Here is a 25,316-nt window from a genome sequence, read left to right as displayed (position 1 = left end):
CTAGGAGTCCAACTTACAAGGGATGTGAAGGACCTCTTCAAGGAGAACTACAAACCACTGCTCAATGAAATAAAAGAGGATACAAACAAATGGAAGAACATTCCATGCTCATGGGTAGGAAGAATCAATATCGTGAAAATGGCCATACTGCCCAAGGTAATTTATAGATTCAATGCCATCCCCATCAAGCTAACAATGACTTTCTTCACAGAATTGGAAAACTACTTTAAAGTTCACTGATATCTTAAATAAGGCAGAAATGCTCTTTAACATCTGTAGAACTCAACATTGTTCTAGCACTTTTAGCTAATGTAATAGGACAAGCAATATAAACTCATCTAGGAACTGGAATGAGATAGACAAATTTACAGTATAATGATGTGATGATGTCACTGCTTAAATGAACACTCCTAAAGAATCAACAGGTACTATTAGCATAAGAAAAGATAACAAGGTTCTTCATATAACATCGATTTACCAAAAAACAGTGTATCTATTGCCAACAGTAAATTACAATATGTAAATTTAAAAAATTCTTTGGCCAGGTGTCATGGCTCATGTCTGTAATCCCAGCATGTTGGGAGGCCCAGGCAGGTGGATTCCTTGAGTCCAGGGGCTCGAGACCAGCCTGGGAAACCTGGTGAAACCCTGTCTCTACTAAAAATACAAAAATTAGCGGTGTGTGGTGGCACACACCTGTAGTCACAGCTACTCAGTAAGCTGAGGTGGGAGGATCTGATCTTGGGAGGCTGATGCTGCAGTGAGCCGAGATCGTGCCACTGCACTCCAGCCTGGGCAACTGGAGTGAGACATTGTTTCAAAAACAATACATGAAGAGATGTATCATGTTCATAGATAAACTGAGTATTATAAAATATAATTTCTTTCTAGATTAATATAGTCAATGCAAGTTGTGGCAAAGTCTTATTAAAGTTTTGTGAAAATTGTGAAAAATGACTTGAAAAATACATATAGAAAATTAACAGTTCGGAGATAGGCAAGAAAACTTGGAAAAAGAAGGAGGTAAGTTCTTTACTGGGTATCAAGATTTATTATAGTGTAATTATGAAAATTGAAAGAATTTTGGCACAGAAGGATGCAATAGACAACAAAAGGGAATAGTAAGGCAGAATATATTTAGGTAATTTACTTTTTGTGCACATGTAATTTGTCTTATAATAAGATTATCATTAGAAATTAGTAGATAAGATGTGTTTTTTGCAGTAAATTGTTTGGATAATGGACTTTTCATAAGGAGGAAAATCAGTGTGTAACTTGTATCACAAAAAATAGTCCAAAAGGACTAAGATCTAAACATTAAGAACAAAATTTAAAGCTAAGAAAAATGTAAATTATTTTATAAATTCAGGGTAGGTGAGGATTTTATCTGAAAGATACAAAAACCACGAAACATAAAGGAAAAGTTTGATAAGTTTTAAATTCCTTGGAAAGATCTGTTAATTAATCCAGCTAAGTTAGCTGTCTGACTCTAGTCTAATTATACATCTAGGCATTTGATAATGAATACAGAAAGAGTATTAAAACTAGGAATATATGGATGAAATTAAAAATACTCATTTTACCTAATAAAAAAATCATGTTCTTAGATGACATTCTCATTGTTGTGATGACATCAATTCTTGCCAAATTCAGGTATACATGTAAGATGTTAAGGCAAATATTGCCATTTTTTTTCTCATTTAGAGTAGTTTATTATGCTAAGGGCCTGGGAAACACTTTAGATTCAGTAAAAAAACTACCTAGAAGAATAAAGCAGAATGAATACTAGAAAAAGACTGAAAGAAAAAAAATGTGTAAAGACGCACAGAATGAGGAACATCTGTTGGTAAAATATATTATAAAAATACTAAAAAGGTATCCAGATAGTAAAAAGCTCAGAAACATGAAAAATCTCTTTCACTACTGGTAGAAGCATATAGTAGGATATAGTCAAAGCGAATTTAGCATAAAAATACATACACTTTATATCTATGTATCTATGTACACATACTTTTTGATATGCATGTATAACTACATATTTCTGAAACGTTTCTAAAAATAATCATAAAATGATTACAGATATGCAAAAACAGTTATAGAGCTATGTATAGTTTGTTAACATTAAGATAAAAGCCTTAACATTTTTTATGCTTAAAAACATTATAATGCTTCATTATAGCAGAATACACATTTGTCATTAAAAGAGATATAGAGCAGAATTTCTCAGAGTTCAGCAGAATATTCATAGTTGTTACAAAAAAAAAGTTCTTAATTTTTAAATATTTTAGGCAATGCTGGCTTAAGCGACTTTAACCTTTTTGTTTGTTTTTAAATCATAAGCTTTCTGTATACTCTGTTAGTATGTAAAAGGAAGTGCTCTATGTGGAGTTTCCCAAATTTCCTTTTCTGTGAAATCCTTTTCTGTTTTAGAAAATACCTTTTAATTCTAACATTTTCAGGAATTTAATTTGAGAAATTCTAATATTGAGGGATTATGTATCAGTGAGGAACAATTTCATTTTTTAGAACATGTAGACTGGGTATGGTGGCTCACACCTGTAATCCTAGCACTTTGGGAGGCCAAGGAGGATAGATTATTTGAGGTCAGGAGTTTCAGACCATCCTAGCCAACATGGTGAAATCCCATCTCTACTAAAAATACAAAAATTAGCCATGCATGGTGTTATGTATCTGTAATCCCAGACACTCAGGAGGCTGAGGCAGGGAGAATCACTTGAACCTGAGAGGCAGAGGTTGCAGTGACCCGAGATTGCGCCACTGTATTCCAACCTGGGCAATGGGGCGAGACTCCGTTTCAAAGAAAACCAAAAACAAAAAACAAAACAAAAAAAGTATAGGCACATGTGTAGGTTCGGATGGAACAATAAACACTACAGAGTTTCGGGGGATTGTGGCAGATGGATGTGAGGCAGGACTAGATTGCAGCTCTAGACAGACCAGCATGTGGATGCTTGTATTGTGAATTTTAGCTACAAATCCACTGCAAGAACAAACCAGTAATCCCAAGAGGACCCACAGATCCTCTGAAGGAAGCAGAGTGCTCCTGCAGGACCCAGGAGACACCCAAATACAGTGACTTCCCCAACTGCAGGAGTAGGAAAGGGAGACCCTCCTCTTCTGAACACACACCACCACTGGAGAACTGAAGGTCTGTTTGCAGGAGAAGTTTCTGGCTTTACCTTGAGCTGAGTTAAGTTAGAGAGCTGAGTGAAATGCAGGGGTAGAGGAAGCAGGGCAGAAGGCCCTGGGAGCTCACTGGGTCCCCAAACAGCCGATTCCTGCCTGGCACCATAGTACTCCATCAGGAGGGTGGCCAGAGGAGCAGGGGGTAAAACCCCCCAGGCAGAAGAAATCTCTAGCTGAACTTTATAACAATTTGAACTGGTCAAGAAGCCTCCTGGCCAGAACTCGGGGGAGGATGTGAATCGGGCATGCAGACGTCACAGGCTGGGGAAGAACTAAAGCCCTTTTCTCTCATGGCTGGGAGGCAGATAGCCTTGGGCAAGTTTTCAAGCCCATTTTGCCCTCTGCCTGGAAATAGAATCGGTGCTGTCGGCTGGGAGGGGCATGGTGGGAGTGAGACCAGCCCTTCAGTTTGCATGGTTGCTGGGTGAGACCTGTGACTGTTGGCTTTCCCCCACTTTCCTGACAACCTGCAAGACTCAGCAGAGGCAGCCATAATCCTCCCAGGTACCCAACTCCAGTGACCTGGGAATCTCATCCCCATCCCCCACAGCAGCCACAGCAAGACCCACAGAAGGAGAGTCTGAGCTCAGACATGCCTAGCCCTGCCCCCACCTGATGGTCCTTCCCTATCCACCCTGGTAGTGGAAGACAAAGGGTATATAATTCTGGGAGATCTAGGGCCACACCCACTGCCAGTCCCTCACCACACTACTACAGCTGATGCTTTCTGGAAAGCACCACCTCCTGGTAGGAGGCCAACCAGCACAAAAATAGAGCATTAAACCACCAAAGCTAAGGACCCCCGTGGAGTCCATTGCACCCTCCATCACCTCAACTGGAACATGCACTGGTGTCCAAGGCTGAGAGTCCCATAAATTGTTCACATCACAGGACTCTGTGCAGACAACTCCCAGTACCAGCCTGGAGCCAGTAGACTTGCTAATAAGTTGTCATCTCCATCTATTACAGTATTTGCTCTAATCATATTTGACTTATATACGTGGGAGCTCCAGTGTTGAGTGCATATATATTTACAATTGTTATATCCTTTCGATGAGTTGACCCCTTTATATGTTGACCTTCTTTGTCGCTTCATAGTTTTTGTCTTGAAATCTATTTTGTCTAATATTAGTATAGCTATTCCTCTTTTTTTGGCTTCCATTGCCATGGAGTGTCTTTTTCCATCCCTTTATTTTCTATCTGTGCATGTCTGTATAGGCGAATTGTGTTTCTTATAGGCAACTGATTAGCTAGACTATGCCTTTTGATTGGAGAGTTTAGTCCATTTACATTCAATGTTATTATTGGTAGTAAGGACTTACTTCTGCCATTTTGTTATCTGTTTTCTGGTTATGTTGTGGTCTGCTCTTCTTTCTTTCCTTCCTATCTTTCTTTAGTGAAGGTTATTTTCTCTGGTGATATGATATAGTTTCTTGCTTTTTATTTTTTTGTGTGTATCCATTGTATTATGTTTTTTGATTTGCGATTACTATGAGGCTTGCAAATACTATCTTGTAACCCATTATTTCAAGCTGATAGCAACTTAGCACTGTTTGCATAAGCAAACAAACAAGCACAAACACTAAACAAATGAAGACTCTACACCTTAACACCATCTTCTCAGTTTTTAACTTTTTGTGTCACTATTTATATATCATTGTGCTGTCTATATCTTCAAAGGTTGCGGGAACTATTTTTTTTTTGTCAGTTCATGATTTAATTTTTGTACTTTAGCGAGGTTTACACACCACATTTACAGTGTTATACTAGTCTGTGTTTTTCTGTCTCCTTACTATTACCAGTGAGTTTTATAGCTTTAGGTGATTACATATTGCTCATTAATGCCCTTTTCTTTCTGATTGAAGTAATCCCTTTAACATTTCTTATAGGACAGATCTGGTGTTTATGAAATCCCTCAGCTTTTGTTGGTTTGGAAAAGTCTTTCTCTTTCATGTTTGAAGAATATTTTCTCCAGTAACACTATTCTGGGCTAAAAGTTTTTTCCTTCAGCACTTCTAATATGTCATGCCACTGTCTCCTGGCCTTTTTCCACTGAGAAGTCTGCTGCCAGATGTAGTGGAGCTCCATTGTACATTATTTGTTTCTTTTCTTTTGCTGCTTTAGAATCCTTTCTTTATCCTTGACCTTAGGGAAATTGATTATTAAATTCCTTGAGGTAGTCTTCTTCAATTTTACCTGGCATTGTTTGTTGAGAAAAACGATTAATTCCTTTCGAATTGCAATAGTACCTTTTTTTGAAAGCAATTGACCATGAATGTTGGTGTTAGTTTCTGGACTCTCAGTTGTGTTTCATTGTTCTTTTTGTCTACTGTAATGTGAGTTCTATAGAATCCTGATTAGGGCAGCTTTGAAGTAAGCTTTGAAATCAGAAAGTATAATCCTCCAAATTTCTTATTTTTTAACAATTTCTTTTTGTGATCTTGTCACTTGGCATTTCCAGATATATTTTAGGAGTGGTTTTCCAATTTCTGTGAAAAAAGTCTTCTGGGATTTGGTAGGGATTGCACTGAATATATATAAGTTGACTTTTCACCTATAAAGACTCTCCTTGTGCTGAATTTCAGTTCAGCTGGTCATCGTTGCTTGTACAACTCTGTGATGAATTGAAAATATAATTTTGGCCTTTTGTTTCTTTTATCCTAGTTGTTGGAGACGGATGTCATGCCTTTCTTAACCTTGTGTGTTCTGCTCAAAAATGGAGGTTCTCAGCCAGGTGTGGTTGTTCATGCCTGTATCCAAGCACTTTGGGAGGCCAAGATGAGGGGACCACTTGAGCACATGAGTTGAAGACCAGACTGGGCAACATAGGGAGACTCTTTGTCTCTATAAAAAAATAAAAAAAAATTATCTGGATGTTTTGGTGCATGCCTGTAGTCCCAGCTACTCCAGAAGGTGAGGTGGGAGGACCACTTGGGCCCAAAAGTTTGAGACTGCAGTGAGCTGTAATCAAGCCACTGCACTCCAGCCTGGGTGACAGAGCAAGACCCTGTCTCCCTCCCTCCACCCAAAACAAGGAAGTTCTCACTGGTATCTTTTATGTATCAAGTAACACATGATCATATGAAAAATTAATAATCCTTGATTCCTGCCTGTACCAGAAGGTAAAATTGAAAGCAGTTATACAAATAGTATATTAACTCCTCAGAAAGACTATCCAAAGAGAATATTATTATCATCTGTATTTTACAGATGATTATACCAAGGCATAGAGTAGTTGTAAAATGAGGTCTGTCTGGAGCATACCTATATGAAGCAGAAAATCTGGTTTCCTGTCTTGGCAGTCTGACTCCAAAATCCTCTCTTAGAAACAATTATACTGTAAAAATGAAAAATAAATAAAATCCAAGATTGGAGACTGATTTTAACATCTACTCATCTTAAACCATTAAGTAATCAAAAATAAATTAAGCAGAGGAAAACAAAACCAAATATTCATATAGAAAGAAGTCTAGACTCTTCAATGGAAAACGTGTTTTTCAAGTGACCCACAATAGTTACACAATTGCTGAGCATTTTAATTAAACAATAAATATTTAAGTATTAACTAGACTCAAGAGAATAACTTAGTGAAAGGCCTAAGCATGAGTGGTAAGTTTGATAAATATTGAAAATGGGTCAAAAAGCCCAAATGGGAAAATAGGGCTATTTCCACCTGGATGATCTCCCTAAAATTAATTTTCCATTTTGGAAATTATAGGACAATAATTCCTCCTATTCATGAGGGGTGAGTATGTGTGTATGTGTGTGAGTGTGTTTGTATTAATGAGCTTGTTAACAATAAGTTATACAAGTATTACTTAGTAGCAACCAGGTTTTAAGGACTATTGGCCTTTTTGAGGTTCCTAAGAAAACCTTGAATGCTTTTGGTAGGAAAAGTTGGGATTCACTCTACATATTACTGGCATTGAAAAAAAATAAATCTACTTTGGTGATGATCCTAGCTATCCTCAAGCTCCATTCACCAGGCTATACAACCAATGTGTCATATATGTATTGGGTTGTAAAATATCTCTAACAACTGAAGTTGCTGAAAACAAATTATGGAGAGGTGAAACAAGGAAAAAATTGCAGAACAATTAAAAAACTCTTCCTTGGCATGCTAGTATATGAGAATTCAGCTTTCACTTCAACATCAATATGGAAAATTTTACCTTACAGCAAGGATGTTGTGTTTGAATAGGAGTTAATTTGAGCTGTTTTGGAAATTATCATGTTTTCCATAAAGACAGCATTGATTTCATCCATTAGCATATTGAGATGATTTCCTCTTTGACGTTGGTCACAGAATTTAAAAGGAACAAGAACATTACTGCACATTCAGGAATCAGTTACACATAGAAGTTAAGGTCAGGACCTTAAAGGGAATCTTGACCAGTGATATTAGGCCTACTTTTTAAAACATTCAGACATGATAAATTTACTACCATTCATTTTTTCAATAACAGCAATGATATATTTATTTTTCCCATGGACACCTACATTAAGCTTGTTGTCTATTTTTATATTTCAACATTTTTGTCTTTGAGTCCTTTTAGGAGTTGTTAAACAATCCTGAAATTTCCCTTACAGTGCTGTTAACAATTATATTTTTTCAAAGTCCTTTGGCATAATGATTGATTAAAGGAAATATCTCCAGTATAATTACACTTGCTTATAAGAAAAGAGTATTTGAAACTTGAAGAAAAAAAGGTTAGACAAATTTATAATGAAATATAAATAAATATGTATAATATATAAGGCATTATTAATAAATGTATATGAAATAACTATCATAGAATGAAATTTATTGAAGTAAAAATACATTCTAAATTAGAATAGGAAAGAACTTGGAAACTATTGTTTAATAATATGTTATATAAATACAAAACTGTAAATATTACTCTTACGTTACTTATTTTGGAAAGGATATGAAACAATGGGAATTTTCATATTCTACTCCTAGGATGATAAATCTGTACCATCATTTTGGCTGAGTATGGCATTATCTGATTAAGATGAAGGATCACATCCTAAACCCAGTATTTACACTCTTATCCGAATACATATACATGCACATGCGTATCACTGAGTTTCAGTAGCTAAAGTTGAGAAGTACTTGGAATGTCTGTCAGTCCTCCAAATGGATAAACAAATTATGGCATACTTATACAATGGAATACTATACAGTGATCAAAATTAACAAAGAAGACTGACATGTTTACAACAGTATAATACAACAAAGGAAATGAACAAATTTGAGCTACATAGATAATAATACTCACAGATGTGAAAGGAATTATCAAGATGGAAAAATACATTTGGAATGATCTTTTACATAAAGTTTGGAAAAAAAATTTTTAATACATTGTAATTTGTTACATTGGTGATGAAACTCTACAGTGAAATATATGAATGATCATCATAACAATTGGGATAATCAGGAGGGAGGAAATAAAAGGGAAATATCAACAAGAAGACGTATATTGGGAGTATCTGGATTGCTGGCAAATTCTATTTTCTGACCAAGGTTTGGTAACATCAATGTTAATGTTATAATTTTTTCTTACTGTTTTTAGGTTTTATTACTCTCTGTATGTTATATTCCCCAATAAAAAAATGTTAAAAAAGCAAAAACATAAGTACATTTCTACGTATAAATTCAGGGTGATACAGCATATTCTCATAGATACCATTGTAATTAGAGTTTTTGCTGAATAAAGGAGAATAGAGCATTATGGTACTAAGAAATACAAGTTAAAATTTAAAACTTTTTTTATTTTGAGACAGGGTCTTGCTCTGTTGTCCAGGCTGGAGTGCACAAGTGCAATCGCGGCTCAATGCAACCTCTGCCACCCGGGCTGAAGTGATTCTCTCAGTTCAGCCTCCAGAGTAGCTAGGACAACAGGCGTGCACCACCACGCCCTGCTAATTTTTTCTATTTTTGGTAGAGATGGGATTTTGCCATGTTGCCCAAGCTGGTCTTGAACTCCTGTGCTCAGGCAATCCACCTGCCTCAGCCTCCTAAAATGGTGGGATTACAGTTATGAGCCACCACACCTGGCCCAAAAGTTTTCTTAAATTAATTAAAAAAGAAGATAAGCAAGAACTGTAAATCCACCTTCTTAATGCTAATATGAATTTGAAACATCAAAATTTGAATATTTATGATTGCTAGACACCTTTATTCTTATTTCCAATTTAATTATTCATAATTCACATTTCAGTGTCAGAAAGTCATGAATTTCCAATAAACTATAGTAAGATGGATATTACATATATAGACCTATTATGCCAAAATGTGTCTCTAAATGAAATATGTATATTCATATTGTTAGCATTCTAATTTCACAATACTATTCATGTGTACACCTGCATTTTGGGTTAAATATTTTGTTACTATATATTTTTTGGTTCTGCATTAGAGAAGAAAAATCATAGGCAAATTTGTTAAGGTGTAAAACATATTTAGCATGATCTTTGAGTATGTTTGTGCATATATAATGCTACTTTGACTGCTATAGTAAGATAACAGATTTAGTCACCATAGCTAAGAATGTGAAAAAGCATTTACAAGAATTTGGCTTGCTAATGATGCTATTAAAAGATGAAATAAAATTGATATGCTGTATATTGCATAGAGTATTTGTCTATTTTCATATTGAAAACTGCACAAAAAAACCCAAAATAGAATCCTAATTGTTGGAGATCACTTTTGCTATGAATTTTTAAAGTATAATAAAATAAAAAAAGCAAATAAATCATTGAAAATACATTGGTTTTACATTATTCTTGATGAAATACCACGTGAGGGTATTTGCCTAGGCCTGATGCTGGAATAATATAAGAATCATGAGGCCATGAAGAAGAATAATATTGTTCTCTCATTACTTTGAAGTCTAGTACTTAAAAAACAAGACTGAAATCACATTTATCAAATAGCATTCTCCCTTTTACCTGCCATCATCATTATCATTATCTATATCCACATCTATCTCATTAAATGATTTATTTTTGAAATATTTAAACACATAATTTGGAAAATAAGTAATTTTAAAAAGATCATAATTATTGGAAAGTTACAGGAGTAAACAGCAAAGTTTAAGTCAAGCTCAATACACTTAGATTTAGAAATTAAGTGTAGTTTATTTTACAATACATTGCTTAAGCAAATAATTATTTATGGATGAGCTTAAACTAATCCTCTTTTCACTATGATCACTATGGAAACAATTTAGATTTTAATGGAACTAAACCTCCCTAGTAAGAAAGACAAAGCAAATAGCACATTTTATGAGCAAGCTTATATTTCTAAAGAGAGAGTTTTAGGACCAGATTGTCAAACAGAGGTAAGACCTCAGATCTTCTGTCACACTTGAGTGAGTGATGATGGAGTTTGAAGGTTATAGTTCTATAACCAAAACTATATTCACGGATAGGGATTAAATGGTGGAATTCCTTAGAAGCACCAGATTCAGTTTTGTTTCCATGGGAATAAAAGTTCTTCAATGTTTGATAAACTTGTAAGTACTGTTTTACTCTTTGATCTTTTAAAGATTGTTATAAATGAAGAAGCCTTGATTTCTGCTTATAAAAACAGTAAAATTTAAATCGTGGAATAGATTGGTGGAGCTGTGGTTGAGATACTATATTTTATTAATTGTAATGACATTTTGAGATCTAGTGCTGCTCACTGAATTTCCCTATAAGGTGAGTTTGTGGTGATGACCCAGCAACAGACAAGCTACTATCCAAAAAAAGCTACTCACATCAAATCAATTTCCGGTTTCTTCCAAGTTGCAGGAGAATGCCTAGACCATGATTTTAATCTCTTCTGTGACCTTTGTATTACAAAAAGAAGAAAATTGTGACCATTTTCATGTCAGGTATACTAAAAATTTATAAAAACTCCTTTTTAAAGAACTTGTGAGTAGCTTCACTATGCCTGGCTCACATTTTCATTTATTGTAGAGGGAGTTTCGGTGTATTGCACAGGCTGGTCTTGAACTCCTGGGTGCTCCTGCCCCAGCCTTACAAAATGTTGGGATTATGGGTGTGAGCCACCCTGCCTGGCCAATAAAGAGACTTATTGAAAATATTAAGTTGAATATGCAAGAAGGAATACAAATTAATGAAAGTGATAAATATGTGCATAATTGTAAATGAATGTTTGCTGTATAAAATAATAATGTCTTGAGGGTGATTATATAATTGATAAGACATATGCAAATGGCAAAAAATAGACTGGAGGTAAAGGTGACAGGAGTAAATTTACTTGAAGTAGTTTTTGAACTTTTCTATGTCTATGAGGAGATTTTGAACAATGACCCTGTAATTTTACCCAAAGGTATATATACAGAGGAATTGCATCAAATGATATATGAAAGAATTCTCTAGTAGAATTATTCATAACTTCAAAAAAGAAGCAGACCAAATGTACATTAAGGATGGGTGAATCATTACATTAATTCCATGCAACGGAACAATATAGAGAAGTGAAAAAAAACCACATGTACTTGCAACTATGTGACTAAATTTCAGAAACATAATGTTGAGTCCAAGAAGCCACAAACAACAAGAACATGTAGGAATGCACCTACACAGAGTTCAAAGCAGGCCAGACCAAGCGATGGAGTTTAGGGTTGCATACCTAGTTGGTAAAGTGTGAAGAAAATTAAGGAAATAATCAATATAAATTATGGATATTGCTTATCTCAGGAGATGTGAAGAAGGGTTTAGGGGGTTGGAAAGTGGCATGGAGGTGGACCTAGGCTGTTTTCAGTGTTCCTTGTCTTGCTCCACATAATGGTTACTTGAATGTTTATGATACACTGCGGTATTTCCCATTTTTGTTTTGGTTCATTTCTAAGTGTGCATTATAATTTTAACATAAAAAGTTTTAATTAGGAGAAACGTCTCATAGAAATTATTATTACTCGTCTCATTATATACTGAGGGGAAAAATAAACTATTGGTATACATTCTTATACAACTCTAAGAGAGTTGAAGTAAGAACTTTATTTAGTTGCAACATGAGGAAATTTGAGATGATTTTATTTGCCACCCCAGATTTTTCCAAAGGATTTCTTCTAGCCTTAATTATCCACCTCACATGAACAAATCTTTGCCGTTCCCCATCTATTTTTTCTTTTGGCTCCTGAATTCCTGACACAACAAGGTTGTACACATTTCCCACACTCTTGGTTTAGCAGAGTTCTTTTATCAGTTATGTTTTTCTGCAAGAGAAACCCTTCAAAACTACATTAGATATTTATATATCACATGGCTTTGGATTTTGTTTTTCTAAATGGGTTTGTTGGATAGCTCTGGTGACTTGAGATGGGCCAAATTCTGCATCTTGGAGGTCGTTAGAGTTTGGCCAATTTAGTCTGGATCAGGTGGGGGGCAATCTGCCTTCATTAGTTTCTGATTCTCCTTCTGGGAACAGTGTACTAGCCAGGTGATATTCTCATAGTAAATGGAAAGAGGAAGAACACCCAGTATGGAAGCTATCTCAAATTTCTATGCAAAGTGTATTAATTTTTTGTTCATCAAAGTAAGTTAAATGATTGAACTTCAAGTTCAGGGGAAAGGTAGTCAGTCTTCGTGTGATGGGAGGATACTGCAAGATTATATATCAAAGGGTCTGGTACTCAGGAATACTTATAAAATTGCTGAACATTTTAATTAAATAATAAATATTTAAATATTAGACTTGAGAGAAACTTTACCAAAGGCCTAAGAATTAGAGATATGTTTGATAAATAAACATTATTCGTGGGCTGAAAACCTTGAGTGGGAAAATAGGACTAATTTCACCTGGACAACCTCCTGGAAACTGATTTTTTATTTTGGAAATTATGAGAAAATAATTCGTTCCATTCATAAGTGGTGTGCACATGTGTGTGTTTGTGTGTGTATTTATGAGCTTGTGAATAATGAAGTTACACAAAAGTATTAGCAGCAACCAGATCTTATGGAGTATTGGCCTGCCTGTGGTTCTCAAGTAAATCTTAGATGCTTTTGATAAAAGCAGTTTGGATTCTGTGTATTTAAATCTGGCATTTAAAAAAGTCCGTATTGGTGATGATCTTAGTTATGATCAAGCTCCCTTTAAGATTTTAGACATTTACTATACGATCTACATATCGGGTTATAAAACTTCCCAAGCAACTGAAGTCGCTAAAGACAAATGATGGAGAGGTTACACAAGGAAAAATTGCAAACACTGGAAGTGAACATGTCCTTGTTTGCATACTAGCAAATGAGAATTCAGGTTTCATGTCAATTTCAGTATGAATAATTCCAGCCTATAACAAGAACAGATGGTGAATGAGTCAGTTAATTTGAATTGTTTTGAAAATAAGAATGTTTTCCATAAAGAGAGCATTGAACTTATCCATTAGCATGCCATGGTGATTTCTGACTTGACACTGGTCACAGCAATTAAAAGTAAAAAGAATGTCACAGCACATACACAAATCAGGTGCATATAGAATTTAAGGTCAGGATATTCAAGCAATCACAACCAGTGATATTACACCAGCATTTTAAAAATTTCTTTTTGTCTGTTCAGACATGATAACTTTTCTGCCCATCATTTTTTCCATTCTAATAGTGGTTATATTTGTTATTGGAAATTTTGCTAATGGCTTCATAGCATTGGTAAATTCCATTGAGTGGGTCAAGAGACAAAAGATCTCCTTTGTTGACCAAATTCTCACTGCTCTGGCGGTCTCCAGAGTTGGTTTGCTCTGGGTGTTATTACTACATTGGTATGCAACTCAGTTGAATCCAGCTTTTTATAGTGTAGAAGTAAGAATTACTGCTTATAATGTCTGGGCAGTAACCAACCATTTCAGCAGCTGGCTTGCTACTAGCCTCAGCATGTTTTATTTGCTCAGGATTGCCAATTTCTCCAACCTTATTTTTCTTCGCATAAAGAGGAGAGTTAAGAGTGTTGTTCTGGTGATACTGTTGGGGCCTTTGCTATTTTTGGTTTGTCATCTTTTTGTGATAAACATGGATGAGACTGTATGGACAAAAGAATATGAAGGAAACGTGACTTGGAAGATCAAATTGAGGAGTGCAATGTACCATTCAAATATGACTCTAACCATGCTAGCAAACTTTGTACCCCTCACTCTGACCCTGATATCTTTTCTGCTGTTAATCTGTTCTCTGTGTAAACATCTCAAGAAGATGCAGCTCCATGGCAAAGGATCTCAAGATCCCAGCACCAAGGTCCACATAAAAGCTTTGCAAACTGTGACCTCCTTTCTTCTGTTATGTGCCATTTACTTTCTGTCCATGATCATATCAGTTTGTAATTTTGGGAGGCTGGAAAAGCAACCTGTCTTCATGTTCTGCCAAGCTATTATATTCAGCTATCCTTCAACCCACCCATTCATCCTGATTTTGGGAAACAAGAAGCTAAAGCAGATTTTTCTTTCAGTTTTGCGGCATGTGAGGTACTGGGTGAAAGACAGAAGCCTTCGTCTCCATAGATTCACAAGAGGGGCATTGTGTGTCTTCTAGCAGAAAACAAACTGGTGGTGTATGAAACATTTTATATTTCTTACTGGGTTTTCTGTAATATATGTATATGAATAATTTCCACATGTATACCTAGAAAAGTCTTTTACCTAAAGTTAGTCTAGAAAAGTACATATATATAGATGTGTGTGTGTGTGTGTGTGTGTATGAAAAACTGAAGAACATTGACAATAACATGCTTTTTATTGTTTTTTCACAAAAACTGCCAAATTATAGAAAATATGACAAAAATTCCTCAATTATGAAGCCATGTTTATTTCATACATGTATTTTATATTTCATTTGTAGAATTTATATCTATTTATAATTATTAAGAACTAACAGCTTATCTCAGGAAAAATATTGCTCTTTTCTATTGTTATTTGAATGACACAAATATACCACAGTGTGCTTACAATCTGTTGTTTTAACCTATAACTTTTTGATAATAAGGTCGTTCAATTCTTAATCACTAATGAGGATGTATCTTCAGGGTTTTATTCCATTATGAATTCCTATTTTATGTTTAGTAAAAAGCAATCAGAATTATTGTTACAAAACAATGAACACAATAAAATTTGAGTGAGAAGTATACGTATAGTAAATTTCATGTATGTGTACCATAAACAGTACTGAGGAATATTAGATTTAATACAAGTATGTGAATAGCTTAGAAAAAAATCTCTGCTATAAGAGGGATGAAAAATCATGATCATGATCTTGATTGCTATTATCAGCTTCCATATGCAGTTAGAACAGTCATTTCTTCCAGCTTTTCAATTAAAGAAAAACTTTTTTTGAAATTGAGCTCAGATGTAAATTATTTTAGTATTTTTTCTAAAGCACTTCTAAGCCCCTGAATTGCTAATTATATCCTTATCTTCCATTTTTAAAATTCTTTCTAAACTTCAGATAAGAGAACTCCAGTCTTCCGTTTTCTAAAAAAAAATCTGTCAATGTGAAAATAGTATAAAAATTATGGAAAATAATTCAGTGAAACTTTTTTTAAGTGTTAAAATAGTATCTATGAAATCTATGTATTAATTATGGGATTTGTCCTAGTGTAATTTTGTTGTCAATGATTAAATGGAATTGTCTTGACATATTCATTAATGGGAAGTTCTATTATAAGAAGGAAATGTACAGTCTTGTTTACAGCTAAATTCTACATGACTGTATTAATTCTTGGTGTTATGAAATTTTAACAATGTTGTTCAGACCTTAAGATAAATCATCCCCACACCTGATTCATGTATTTTTTAGAATCATGTATCTTCCTCAGTACAATGTAAGAACCATAAAAGAAGAGATCGTGTCTGTCAGGCTTTCTGTTGACTCCCAGGACCTAGAACCCAGCACAAGGAATAGATGGTCAAAAATGATATTTTAATGAACAAATAAATGGGTGGATAAAATGGGTAAGCTGATGTGGTAAACCAATGAAAGGGAAACTCATCACAAAATCTGCAGTTGCATGAGTTCCCCTGTTCTGGTCTCAGGTTAAGATTACAGGCTTATCCAAGCAGAATCCTTCCTCAGAGGAAAAGTTTGGCTATTCCACAATTTTAGGGGAAATATCACAATAATATAGTCTTGATGCAGCTGTATCAGGTGTCTGAATTGGCGACAAGGTAGAACATCAAAATTAGATGCCACTATTACAATATTTTAAAAAAGCATATAAAAGACTTTGGTCTATTTGCGTATGTATTTTTTTCTATTGTGAATTATATATTTGTATTATGATATTTTCTAGTTGATTATCATATAAAAATGGCATTTCATTTCAAAAAATTGAGTTAGTAACCAGCTACTTTACTAAAATGTTTTTAACGTAATACCTGATATTAAAGTGATGACATTTATATGGAAGGCCAATTCAAGACAAAAATGGCAGGGACATGTGGAAATTGAGACAAGAACCGATGTGAAACAATGTGTGGTGATGTCTGGTATGACTGCTGGCAGCCACTTCACAGTGAGGTGAGAGAGACAGCATGGTGGTCATCAGATGCATGCACTTGACTCCCAGAACTTTTCCAGAAGGGCTACAAAGGGAAACCACAGCTGGCATTAGTCCATGGAAGAGAGAGAGAGGAGGGAGAATGTATCTGCTCAGCTGTCGTTAGTCTTCTGTTTCCCCTTGGCCAGGGTTTCCCTGAGTTAGAACTACCATCTCTGTTGTTCTGTCTTACATCATCCAGTCCCTTGGTGGTGGTCATGAAAGTCAGACCTCATGCCCACAGTGTGGTGATGCATTCAAGTCCCAAATGGAAGGATGATCTGGATCAGGCAAGGTGCTGACCAGGGGAACAGGAGATAGTGAAGGGAATCTGAGAAAGCACATGTTTGTGTCCAATACCACCACTCCTTGTGCCACTGAGACGTGCTCATACCCTCCAGTCATGGCTGGCTTTATGAGCATATGACTTGCACAGTTGTACAGGGTTTTGTGCTTATAGGGGCTTGTGCTTAGAGTGACTCTATGCTTGGATTAATGTTCTGCACTTGCTGTTTGGCTTTTCAGACAGAGTATACTTCAGCATTCCCTCTGCTGAAGAGGGAATGGTCTTACACTGGTCTTACACTGATTCCATAGGGATTTGCTCTCCCCTCTCCTACAGGCTTGTCAGAGACATGCACAGAGTCCTATAATGCCCACTATGCATGCCTCTAGCAGCTTTGAATTCCGCTGGATCATCTGGCACAGTGGCCAGAGCAGCCTGGACCAGAGCCTATATCTTCTGTAGAGCCCTCTTTAGTTCTGGGCTCCATTTGAGACCAGTAGCCTTTAGAAACATCGTTCGTGAGTCAGAGCAATATTCTCAAATGTGGAATATGTTGTCTCCAAAATCCCAGTAGGCCCCCAAAACATAGTGTCTCTTTTGTAGTGATAGGAAATATATAGAGAGAGCAAAATGCCGTTTACTGTAAAAAAGATTGTCTCAGCATGTGGACTAGGGACACTAAAAACCTTAAAACATCACCTATGTTGTCGGTCCCTGAATCTTCTCTGATTTATCTATTTTCTTCTGGTATTTTACTTCTGCTCAATGTTATAATATTTTACTATACTGAAGAAACTTGCCATTTCCTGATTATTGTACCAACTAATATATTATTATTGGTATTATTTTGAGACACGGTCTCTTTCTGTCCCTGAGGCTGGAATGCAGTGGCAGGATCACAGCTCATTGCAGCCTCAACCTTCTGGGCACAAGTGATTCTCCCACTTCGGCATTGCTGGCAGCTGGGACTGCAGGGGCACAACACCATGCCTGGCTAATTTTGGTATTTTTTGTAGGGCTGGGATGTCACCGTGTTACCCAGGCTGGTCTCAAACTCCTGGGCTCAAGTGATCTGCCTGTGTCGGCCTCCTAAAGTGTTGGGATTACAGTCATATGCCACAGGGCCCGGTCTGTAATATTATCAATACATTAAACTGGCAGGATGTTTTAAAAAATGTAAATTAAACTGAGAACAGAAGTGACATAGCCCTGACATACAACAGTGAAGCAGTGCTATTATTCTTACAAGGCAAATTGTTTTGATTTTCCCTCATAATGGGTGTAGATTAAGAACCATTCACCAAATCACTAGCCCCACAAAAAGTACCAGAAGCTCTGCTCTGCTCAGTGAAGATAGCACATCCTGGAAAGCATTTGTGAGTGTTGATTTAAGTTTATGGTAGTCTGCATTCATTCGATAACCCATCTGGTTTTGGTAGAGGCCAGATAGGTTAAGTGAATCGGGTTATAGAAAAGACTACCATCCCCTGTAACTTTCAGGTGTTTTGTCATGACAGTGACCAGTTCCATTCCTTAGGGAATGCGGTTATTATATTTTATATATTTTGTTGCCAGTAGAGGAGAATTTCAGAGGCTTTCCCTTGGTCCTGCTATAATAATGTTCCTTACTCTACAGTTCACGAAGAATGTGAGAGTCCTGCCAGCTGCCATACGTATCCATTTCAATTCAGGAAGAGGTAATAACTACAAACTGATTAGATCCACCTTGGGATGGACATGAGCCGAAGCTCTAGGTAGCATCTGACCTTCAAAACTCCCACTGCGGGCTGGATGTGATGGCTCATGCCTGTAGTCCTAGTACTTTGGGAGGCCAAGGTGTGAAGATCCCTTGAGAGCAGGAGTTCCCTGTGCATCATATGGAAACTCCGTCTCTACAAAAAATTTTAAAAATTACCTGGCATGGTGGTACATGCCTATAGTTCCAAATAGTTGAGAAGCTGAGGCAGGAGGATTGCTTGAGCCCAGGAGTTCCAGGCTGCAGTGGGCTATGATTGTGCCACTGTACTCCAGCTTGGGTAACAGAGGGAGATGCTGTCTCAGAACAAAAAAAAAGGTGGAAGTTCTCACTGGTGTCAAATATCAAGAGAAACAGGATCAAATCAATAATTAACAATCTTTGGTTCCTGCTTATAGCAAACAGGTAAAATTGAAAGTAGTTACAGAAATAGTATATTAACTCCTAACAAAACTAACCAATGAAAGTTTTATTATCATCTCCTTTTTGTTGTTATTTTGATACGGAGTCTCGCTCTGTCTCTCAGGCTAGAGTGCAGTGGCGTGATCTCGACTAACTATAACCTCTGCCTTCTGGGTTCAAATGATTCTCCTGCTGCAGTCACCGAGTGGCTCGGATTATAGGTGCGTGCCACCACCACCTGGCTAATTTTTATATTTTTAGTGGAGACAGGGTTTCACCATGTTGGCCATGCTGGATTTGCACTCCTGACTTCAGGTGATCCACCTGCCTTGGCCTCCCAAAGTGCTGGGATTACAGCCATGAGCCACTGCGCCCGCTTTTTATAGGTGATTATACTGAGGCAGGAGTAGTTGGAAAATGGAGTCTCAGAGCATAGCTATACCAAGCAGGGAATATGATTTCCTGACCTGGCGTCTGACTCCAAGATCCCCTCTTAGAAACAGTTATGCTATAAAAACTGAAAAGAAACAAAATCCAGGATTGGAGACTGATTTTAACATCTATTCATCATAAATCAATAAGTAATCAAAAATAAATAGAGAAAAGTAAAAGTGAATATTCATACACAGAGAAGTGTAAATTCTTCTATGGAAAACATGTTTTTTTAGTGCCCAAGGAATAGTTATACAATTGTTGAGGTTTTTCTTTTTCTTTTTCTTTTTTTTTTTTTTGAGACTGAGTCTCGCTCTGTCGCCCAGGCTAGAGTGCAGTGGCGCCATCTCGGCTCACTGCAAGCTCCGCCTCCTGGGTTCACACCATTCTCTGGCCTCAGCCTCCCCGAGTAGCTGGGACTACAGGCGCCTGCCACCATGCCCGGCTAACTTTGGTTTTGTATTTTTAGTAGAGACGAGGTTTCACCGTGTTAGCCAGGATGGTCTCGATCTCCTGACCTCGTGATCAGCCCGCCTCGGCCTCCCAAAATGCTGGGATTACAGGCGTGAGCCACCGTGTCCGGCCAAAATAGTTGAGTATTTTAATTAAATAACTAATATTTAAGTATTCTCAAGAGAATAACTTAGTTAAAGGCCTAAGCCTTAGAGATTAAGTTTGATAAACATTGAAAATGGGCTGAAAAGCCCGAGTAAGAAAATTAATTTTCATTTTAGAAGTTATAGGACAGTAATTTTTCCAAACCATGAGGGGTGTGTATGTGTGTGTGTGTGAATGTGTTTGTGTTAATGAGCTTGTTAACAATAAGTTGTACAAAATTATTAGTTAGCAGTAACCAGTTTTCAAGGAATATTGGCCTTCCTGGGCTTCCCAAGAAAACCTTGGACACTTTTGGTAGAAAAGTTGGGATTCACTCTCCATAAATCTGGCATTGAAAAAATGATTCAACAGTGGTCATGATTCTAGTTTTGACCAAGCTACATATAACAGTGTAGGCATCCAATGTATGATTTATGTATTAGGTTGGAAAATTTCCCTAACAACTCACATTGCTGAACGCAAATTATGGAGACATTAAACAAGGAAAAAATTGCAAAATGATGATTAAGTGTATGACTTGATTTGCATGCTAGCAAATGAGAATTCAGCTTTCACATCAACATCAGTATGAAAAATTTTATCTTATAACAAGCATATAGTATTTGAATAGGAGTTAATTTGAGCTGTTTTGGAAATTATCCTGTTTTCCATTAAGACAGCCTTGAACTCATTCAATAGCATTCCCCGGTGCTTTCCTGTTTGACATTAGCCAGAGAATTTAAAAGGAACAAGAACGTTATTGCACAGTCAGAAATCAGGAGCACATAGAAATTAAGGTCAGGACCTTAAAGGGAAACTTGTCCATTGGTATTAGGCCTGCCTTAAAAAATGCGGACATGGTATGTTTACTACTCATCATTATTTTCCATAACAGTAATGGTAGAATTTGTATTTTCCCATGGGCACCTTCATTAGGCTTATAGACTATTTTGATATTTCAACATATTATTTTCTTTGAGTCCTTTTAATGAGTTGTTAAACAATGCTAAAATTTGCCTTACAGTATACTGTTAACTAATCATATTTTCCCAAAGTCATTTGACATAATGTTTGGTTAAAGGAAATATGTCTAGTACAGTTACACTCTAGGATTGTAATCCTAGAATTGTAAATCAGTGCAATTACTTTGAGTATGGCATTATCTGATTAAGATGATGGATCACATCTGAAGACCCACTATTGCACTCTTATCAGAATACATATACACACACATGCATATCACTGAGTTTTAATTGCTAAAGTTGACAAGTCTGTCAAATGTCCATGGGTGATAAAATGGATAAATAAATTATTGCATAGTCATACAATAGAATACTATACAGCAATCAAAATGAACCAACTAGAGAGACGTTTATAAAGAATGTTAATAAAAAGGAAAATGAACAAATTTGCACTACATAGATACGAGAGATATTAAGATGGAAACATGATTCCGTATAATTACATTTATATAAAGTTTACAAAACTATATTTTTAATGAATTGCAATTTATTACATTGTTGTCGAAATTCTAAAGTGAGACCCAAGAGTGATTATTGTAACAACTGGCACAGTAGGGACGGAGGAAACAAAAGGGAAATGATATCAACAAGAAGGTGTATATGGGGAGTGTCTGGATTGCTGGTAAATTCTACTTCATGACCAAGATGTGGTAACATGACCCTTAATGCTATAATTTTTTTCTATACTGTACCTTCAGGCTTTATTAATTTATATATATGTTATGTTTCATAGTAATGAAAATATTTTAAAAGCAGAATCATATAATAAATGAATGAATATAAAATAGGCTGAAAAAACATTCTTGTAGACACCATGGTAATTAGAATTTTTGCTGAATAAAGAAGAATAGAGCATTATGATAGTAAGAAATCCAAGATAAAATTTTAAACTTTAAATTAATTTTAAAAAGGAAGAGATAAACAGGAAGTCTACCTCCACACTCTTAATGTTATTCTTATTTTGAAACATCAGATTTTGCACATCTGTATTTTGCTAGACACCTTTTTTTCTTATTTCCAATTTAGATATTTATGATCACAACATTTCAAAGTGGCAGAAATTAGTGAATTTCCAATATAGTAATATCGATATTAAATATACAGGACAATTTTCTAAATTTATCCCTAAATGAAATAATAATACACATATTTTTACCATTCAAAGATTATAATACCATGCATGTGTACACATGTGTGAGGAAAAATATTTTGATACTACAAATTTTTTGAATATTACAGGAGAATTAGTAGAAAGATAATTTTGTTAAGGCATAAAACATATGTAGTATAACTACTTGGACTGCTATAATAAAATCACCCAGATTTTGTGACAGTAGCTGAGAATGTAAATAAGCAGTAGAGAGAATTTAACTTGTTAATGATGCTATTAAAAGATGAAATGAAGCTTATTCACTCTATAATTGCAAAGAGTATTTGTGTAAGTTCATAGGAAAGTGGAACAAAATTAAACAGCCAACAAGAGAGTATTCTTTGCTGGAGGTCAATTTTACTGTAATTTTTAGAATGTGGTAAAAGAAAAAAAATAGCAAGTAAATCATTGGAAATGTGTCGGTTTTGTATTATTCTTGACGAAATATTATGTGAGGGTATTTGTCTAGGCCTGATGCTGAGAATAATACAAGAATTGTGCCGGGCATGGTGGCTCATGCCTGTAATCCCAGCACTCTGGGAGACCGAGGCTGGTGGATCACCTGAGGTCAGGATTTCCAGACTGGCCTGGCCAATATAGTGAAAACCCATCTCTTCTAAAAATACAAAAATTAGCTGGGCGTGATGGCGGGCACCTGTAATCCCAGCTACTTGGGAGGCTGAGGCAGGATAATCAATTGAACCAGGGAGGCAGAGGCTGCAGTGAGCCAATATTGCGCCATTGCACTGCAGCCTGGGTGACAAGAGTGAAGCTCCATGTCAAAAAAAAAAATCGTAAATCCATGAGAAAGAATAATAGTGTTCTCCCACTACCCTTAACTCTAGTACATTGAAAAGAAGACCCAAATCACATTTATCAAATAACATTCTCCCTTTTAGCTGACATTATCATCATTATTATAATCATCTACATTTACATCTATCTTATTAAATGATTTATTTTTGAAATATTTACATACATAATTTGGACAACGTTTACATAAGTTCTAAGAGATATCATTGTGGGAAATTTACGTTAGTAAACAGCAAAGTTCAAGTCAAGTTGAATACATTTAGATTTAGAAAGTTAAGTGTAGTGCAGTTTAAAATACATTGCTGAAGAAAACAATTATAGATGATATTAAACTAATCCAAGGAACACTATAAAAAGATTTTGATTTTAGTATAAATAAAATTGCTTAATAAGAAAAATAAATAAACCATTTCATGATCAAGCTCTTATTTCTAAAGAGAGGATTTTAGGGCTAAACAAATCAAATAAGTAAGCCCTCCCCCACATCTTCTCTATTTCATGTAGGTAATGATGGAGTTCAAAGGCACAGAGCCCCATTTCTACAACATAAGCAAAGTGAAAATTAATTCATGGAATACAATGACATAGCTGTGGTTGATGAACTATATTTTATCTATTGCAATGATATTTTGAAATGCAGTGCTACTCATTGAGTTTCCTTGTGAGGAGATTGTGTGGCGAGGACCCAGCAAGACAAGCTACTATCCCAAAAAAGCTACTTATATGAACTTCATTTCCGGTTTCTTTCAAATTGAAGGTAAATTCCAAGATGAAGCTTTTATTCTATTCTCTGACCAAAGTGTTGGAAAAAGAAGGAATTTGTTACCATTTTCATTTCTAACATACTAAAACAGAAAACAAAAAACCCCAAAATCAAAAACACTTTTAAAAAGAACATGGCGTTAAGATTAGTTTGTTCAGTTTCCCTGTAGAAAATAATTTATGGAAAGATAATAAAAGATTATTCTGAACACTAAAACAAGAAAACTAAAAAATGAATTATCAATATTGAGAATCCAATAGACAGAGTTAACCAGTTAGATGGAGTAGAAGAGATAATTAGTGAATTGGAAGATAGCTACAAAGAATGAAGCACTGAGAGAAAGATGGAAAATATAAGACTAGAGGGTAACAAATTCATGCTACAGTTGGAATATGTAACATACTTCTGGAGTTCTGTAAGATTAGAGGAGAGAAAATAGAGCAAGAGAAAATACAAAGTTGTACTGAAAATACAAAGTTGAACATGCAAGAAGCAATAAAATTAATGACAATGAAAAATAAGTGTGTAATTCTAAATAAATGTTGCCTGTAGAAAACAATAGTGTCTTGTTGGATTAATTGTATAATTGATAAGATATATGCAAATAGCAATAAAGAGACTGGAGATAAAGTGACAGGAATAAATTTAGTCAAACTGTTTTGGGCTTTTCTATGTCTGTGAGTAGAATTTGAATATCATAATCAAGGACCGTATAAATCTACACCCAGATATATATACACAAAGGAATTGTAGCAAATGATATGTGAAAGAATGTTCATTGTAGCATTATTAATAATAGCTCAAAAATAAGCTGCCCAAATATATATCAAATAAAGATGGATAAATAATTACAGTAAAATCATAAAATGGAAAAATATACAGAAGTGAAAATAAATGAATCACATGTACATGCAACCATGTGATTAAATTTCAGATACATAATGTTGAGTCCAGGAAGCCATGAATAAGGACATATAGGATTGCACCTATACACAGTTCAAAGCAGACCAAACGAAGCTATTGAGTTTAGGGTTGCATGCTTTGTTCGTAAAGTACAAAGAAAATAAAAAAAGATCATTATAAATTATGGATGTACTTATCATAAGAGGTGTGAAGAAAGGTGTAGGGGATTGGAAAGTGGCATTGAGGTAAACCTAGCCTCTTAGCAATGTTCCATGTCTCGCCCTACATAATGGTTACATGAGTGTTTATGATACATTGCTATGTTTTCCATTTTTGTTTTGGCCCATTTCTAAGTGTGTAGTCTAGTTATAAAAATTATTAATTAGGAGAAATTTTCCATGAAAATTATTATTACCCTGCTCATTATATACTGAAGGGAAAAATCCACTAT

General features: G+C 35.5%; 3 protein-coding genes and 1 long non-coding RNA gene across 6 annotated transcripts in view; all 4 read left to right on the top strand.

The window, feature by feature from the left end:
* The window catches only part of PRH1-PRR4 (PRH1-PRR4 readthrough), a 325,777-nt gene that overhangs the window by 23,599 nt on the left and 276,862 nt on the right, over positions 1-25,316 (top strand). The gene's annotated exons all lie outside the window — the stretch shown is intronic.
* The window catches only part of PRH1 (proline rich protein HaeIII subfamily 1), a 290,647-nt gene that overhangs the window by 23,585 nt on the left and 241,746 nt on the right, over positions 1-25,316 (top strand). The window lies entirely within an intron of this gene.
* Positions 1-25,316, top strand: part of PRH1-TAS2R14 (PRH1-TAS2R14 readthrough) — a 234,202-nt gene that overhangs the window by 23,585 nt on the left and 185,301 nt on the right. The window lies entirely within an intron of this gene.
* TAS2R30 (taste 2 receptor member 30) lies at positions 13,383-15,069 on the top strand. The gene has a single exon (NM_001097643.2). The coding sequence runs from the start codon at positions 13,783-13,785 to the stop codon at positions 14,740-14,742; it is 960 nt and encodes a 319-aa protein (NP_001091112.1). The 5' UTR covers positions 13,383-13,782; the 3' UTR covers positions 14,743-15,069.

The sequence above is a fragment of the Homo sapiens genome, chromosome 12, assembly GCF_000001405.40.
Source record: "Homo sapiens chromosome 12, GRCh38.p14 Primary Assembly".
NCBI classification, from domain to species: Eukaryota; Metazoa; Chordata; class Mammalia; order Primates; family Hominidae; genus Homo; species Homo sapiens.
Note: the sequence above shows the minus strand (reverse complement) of the source record. Positions and strands in the feature narration are given on the sequence as shown.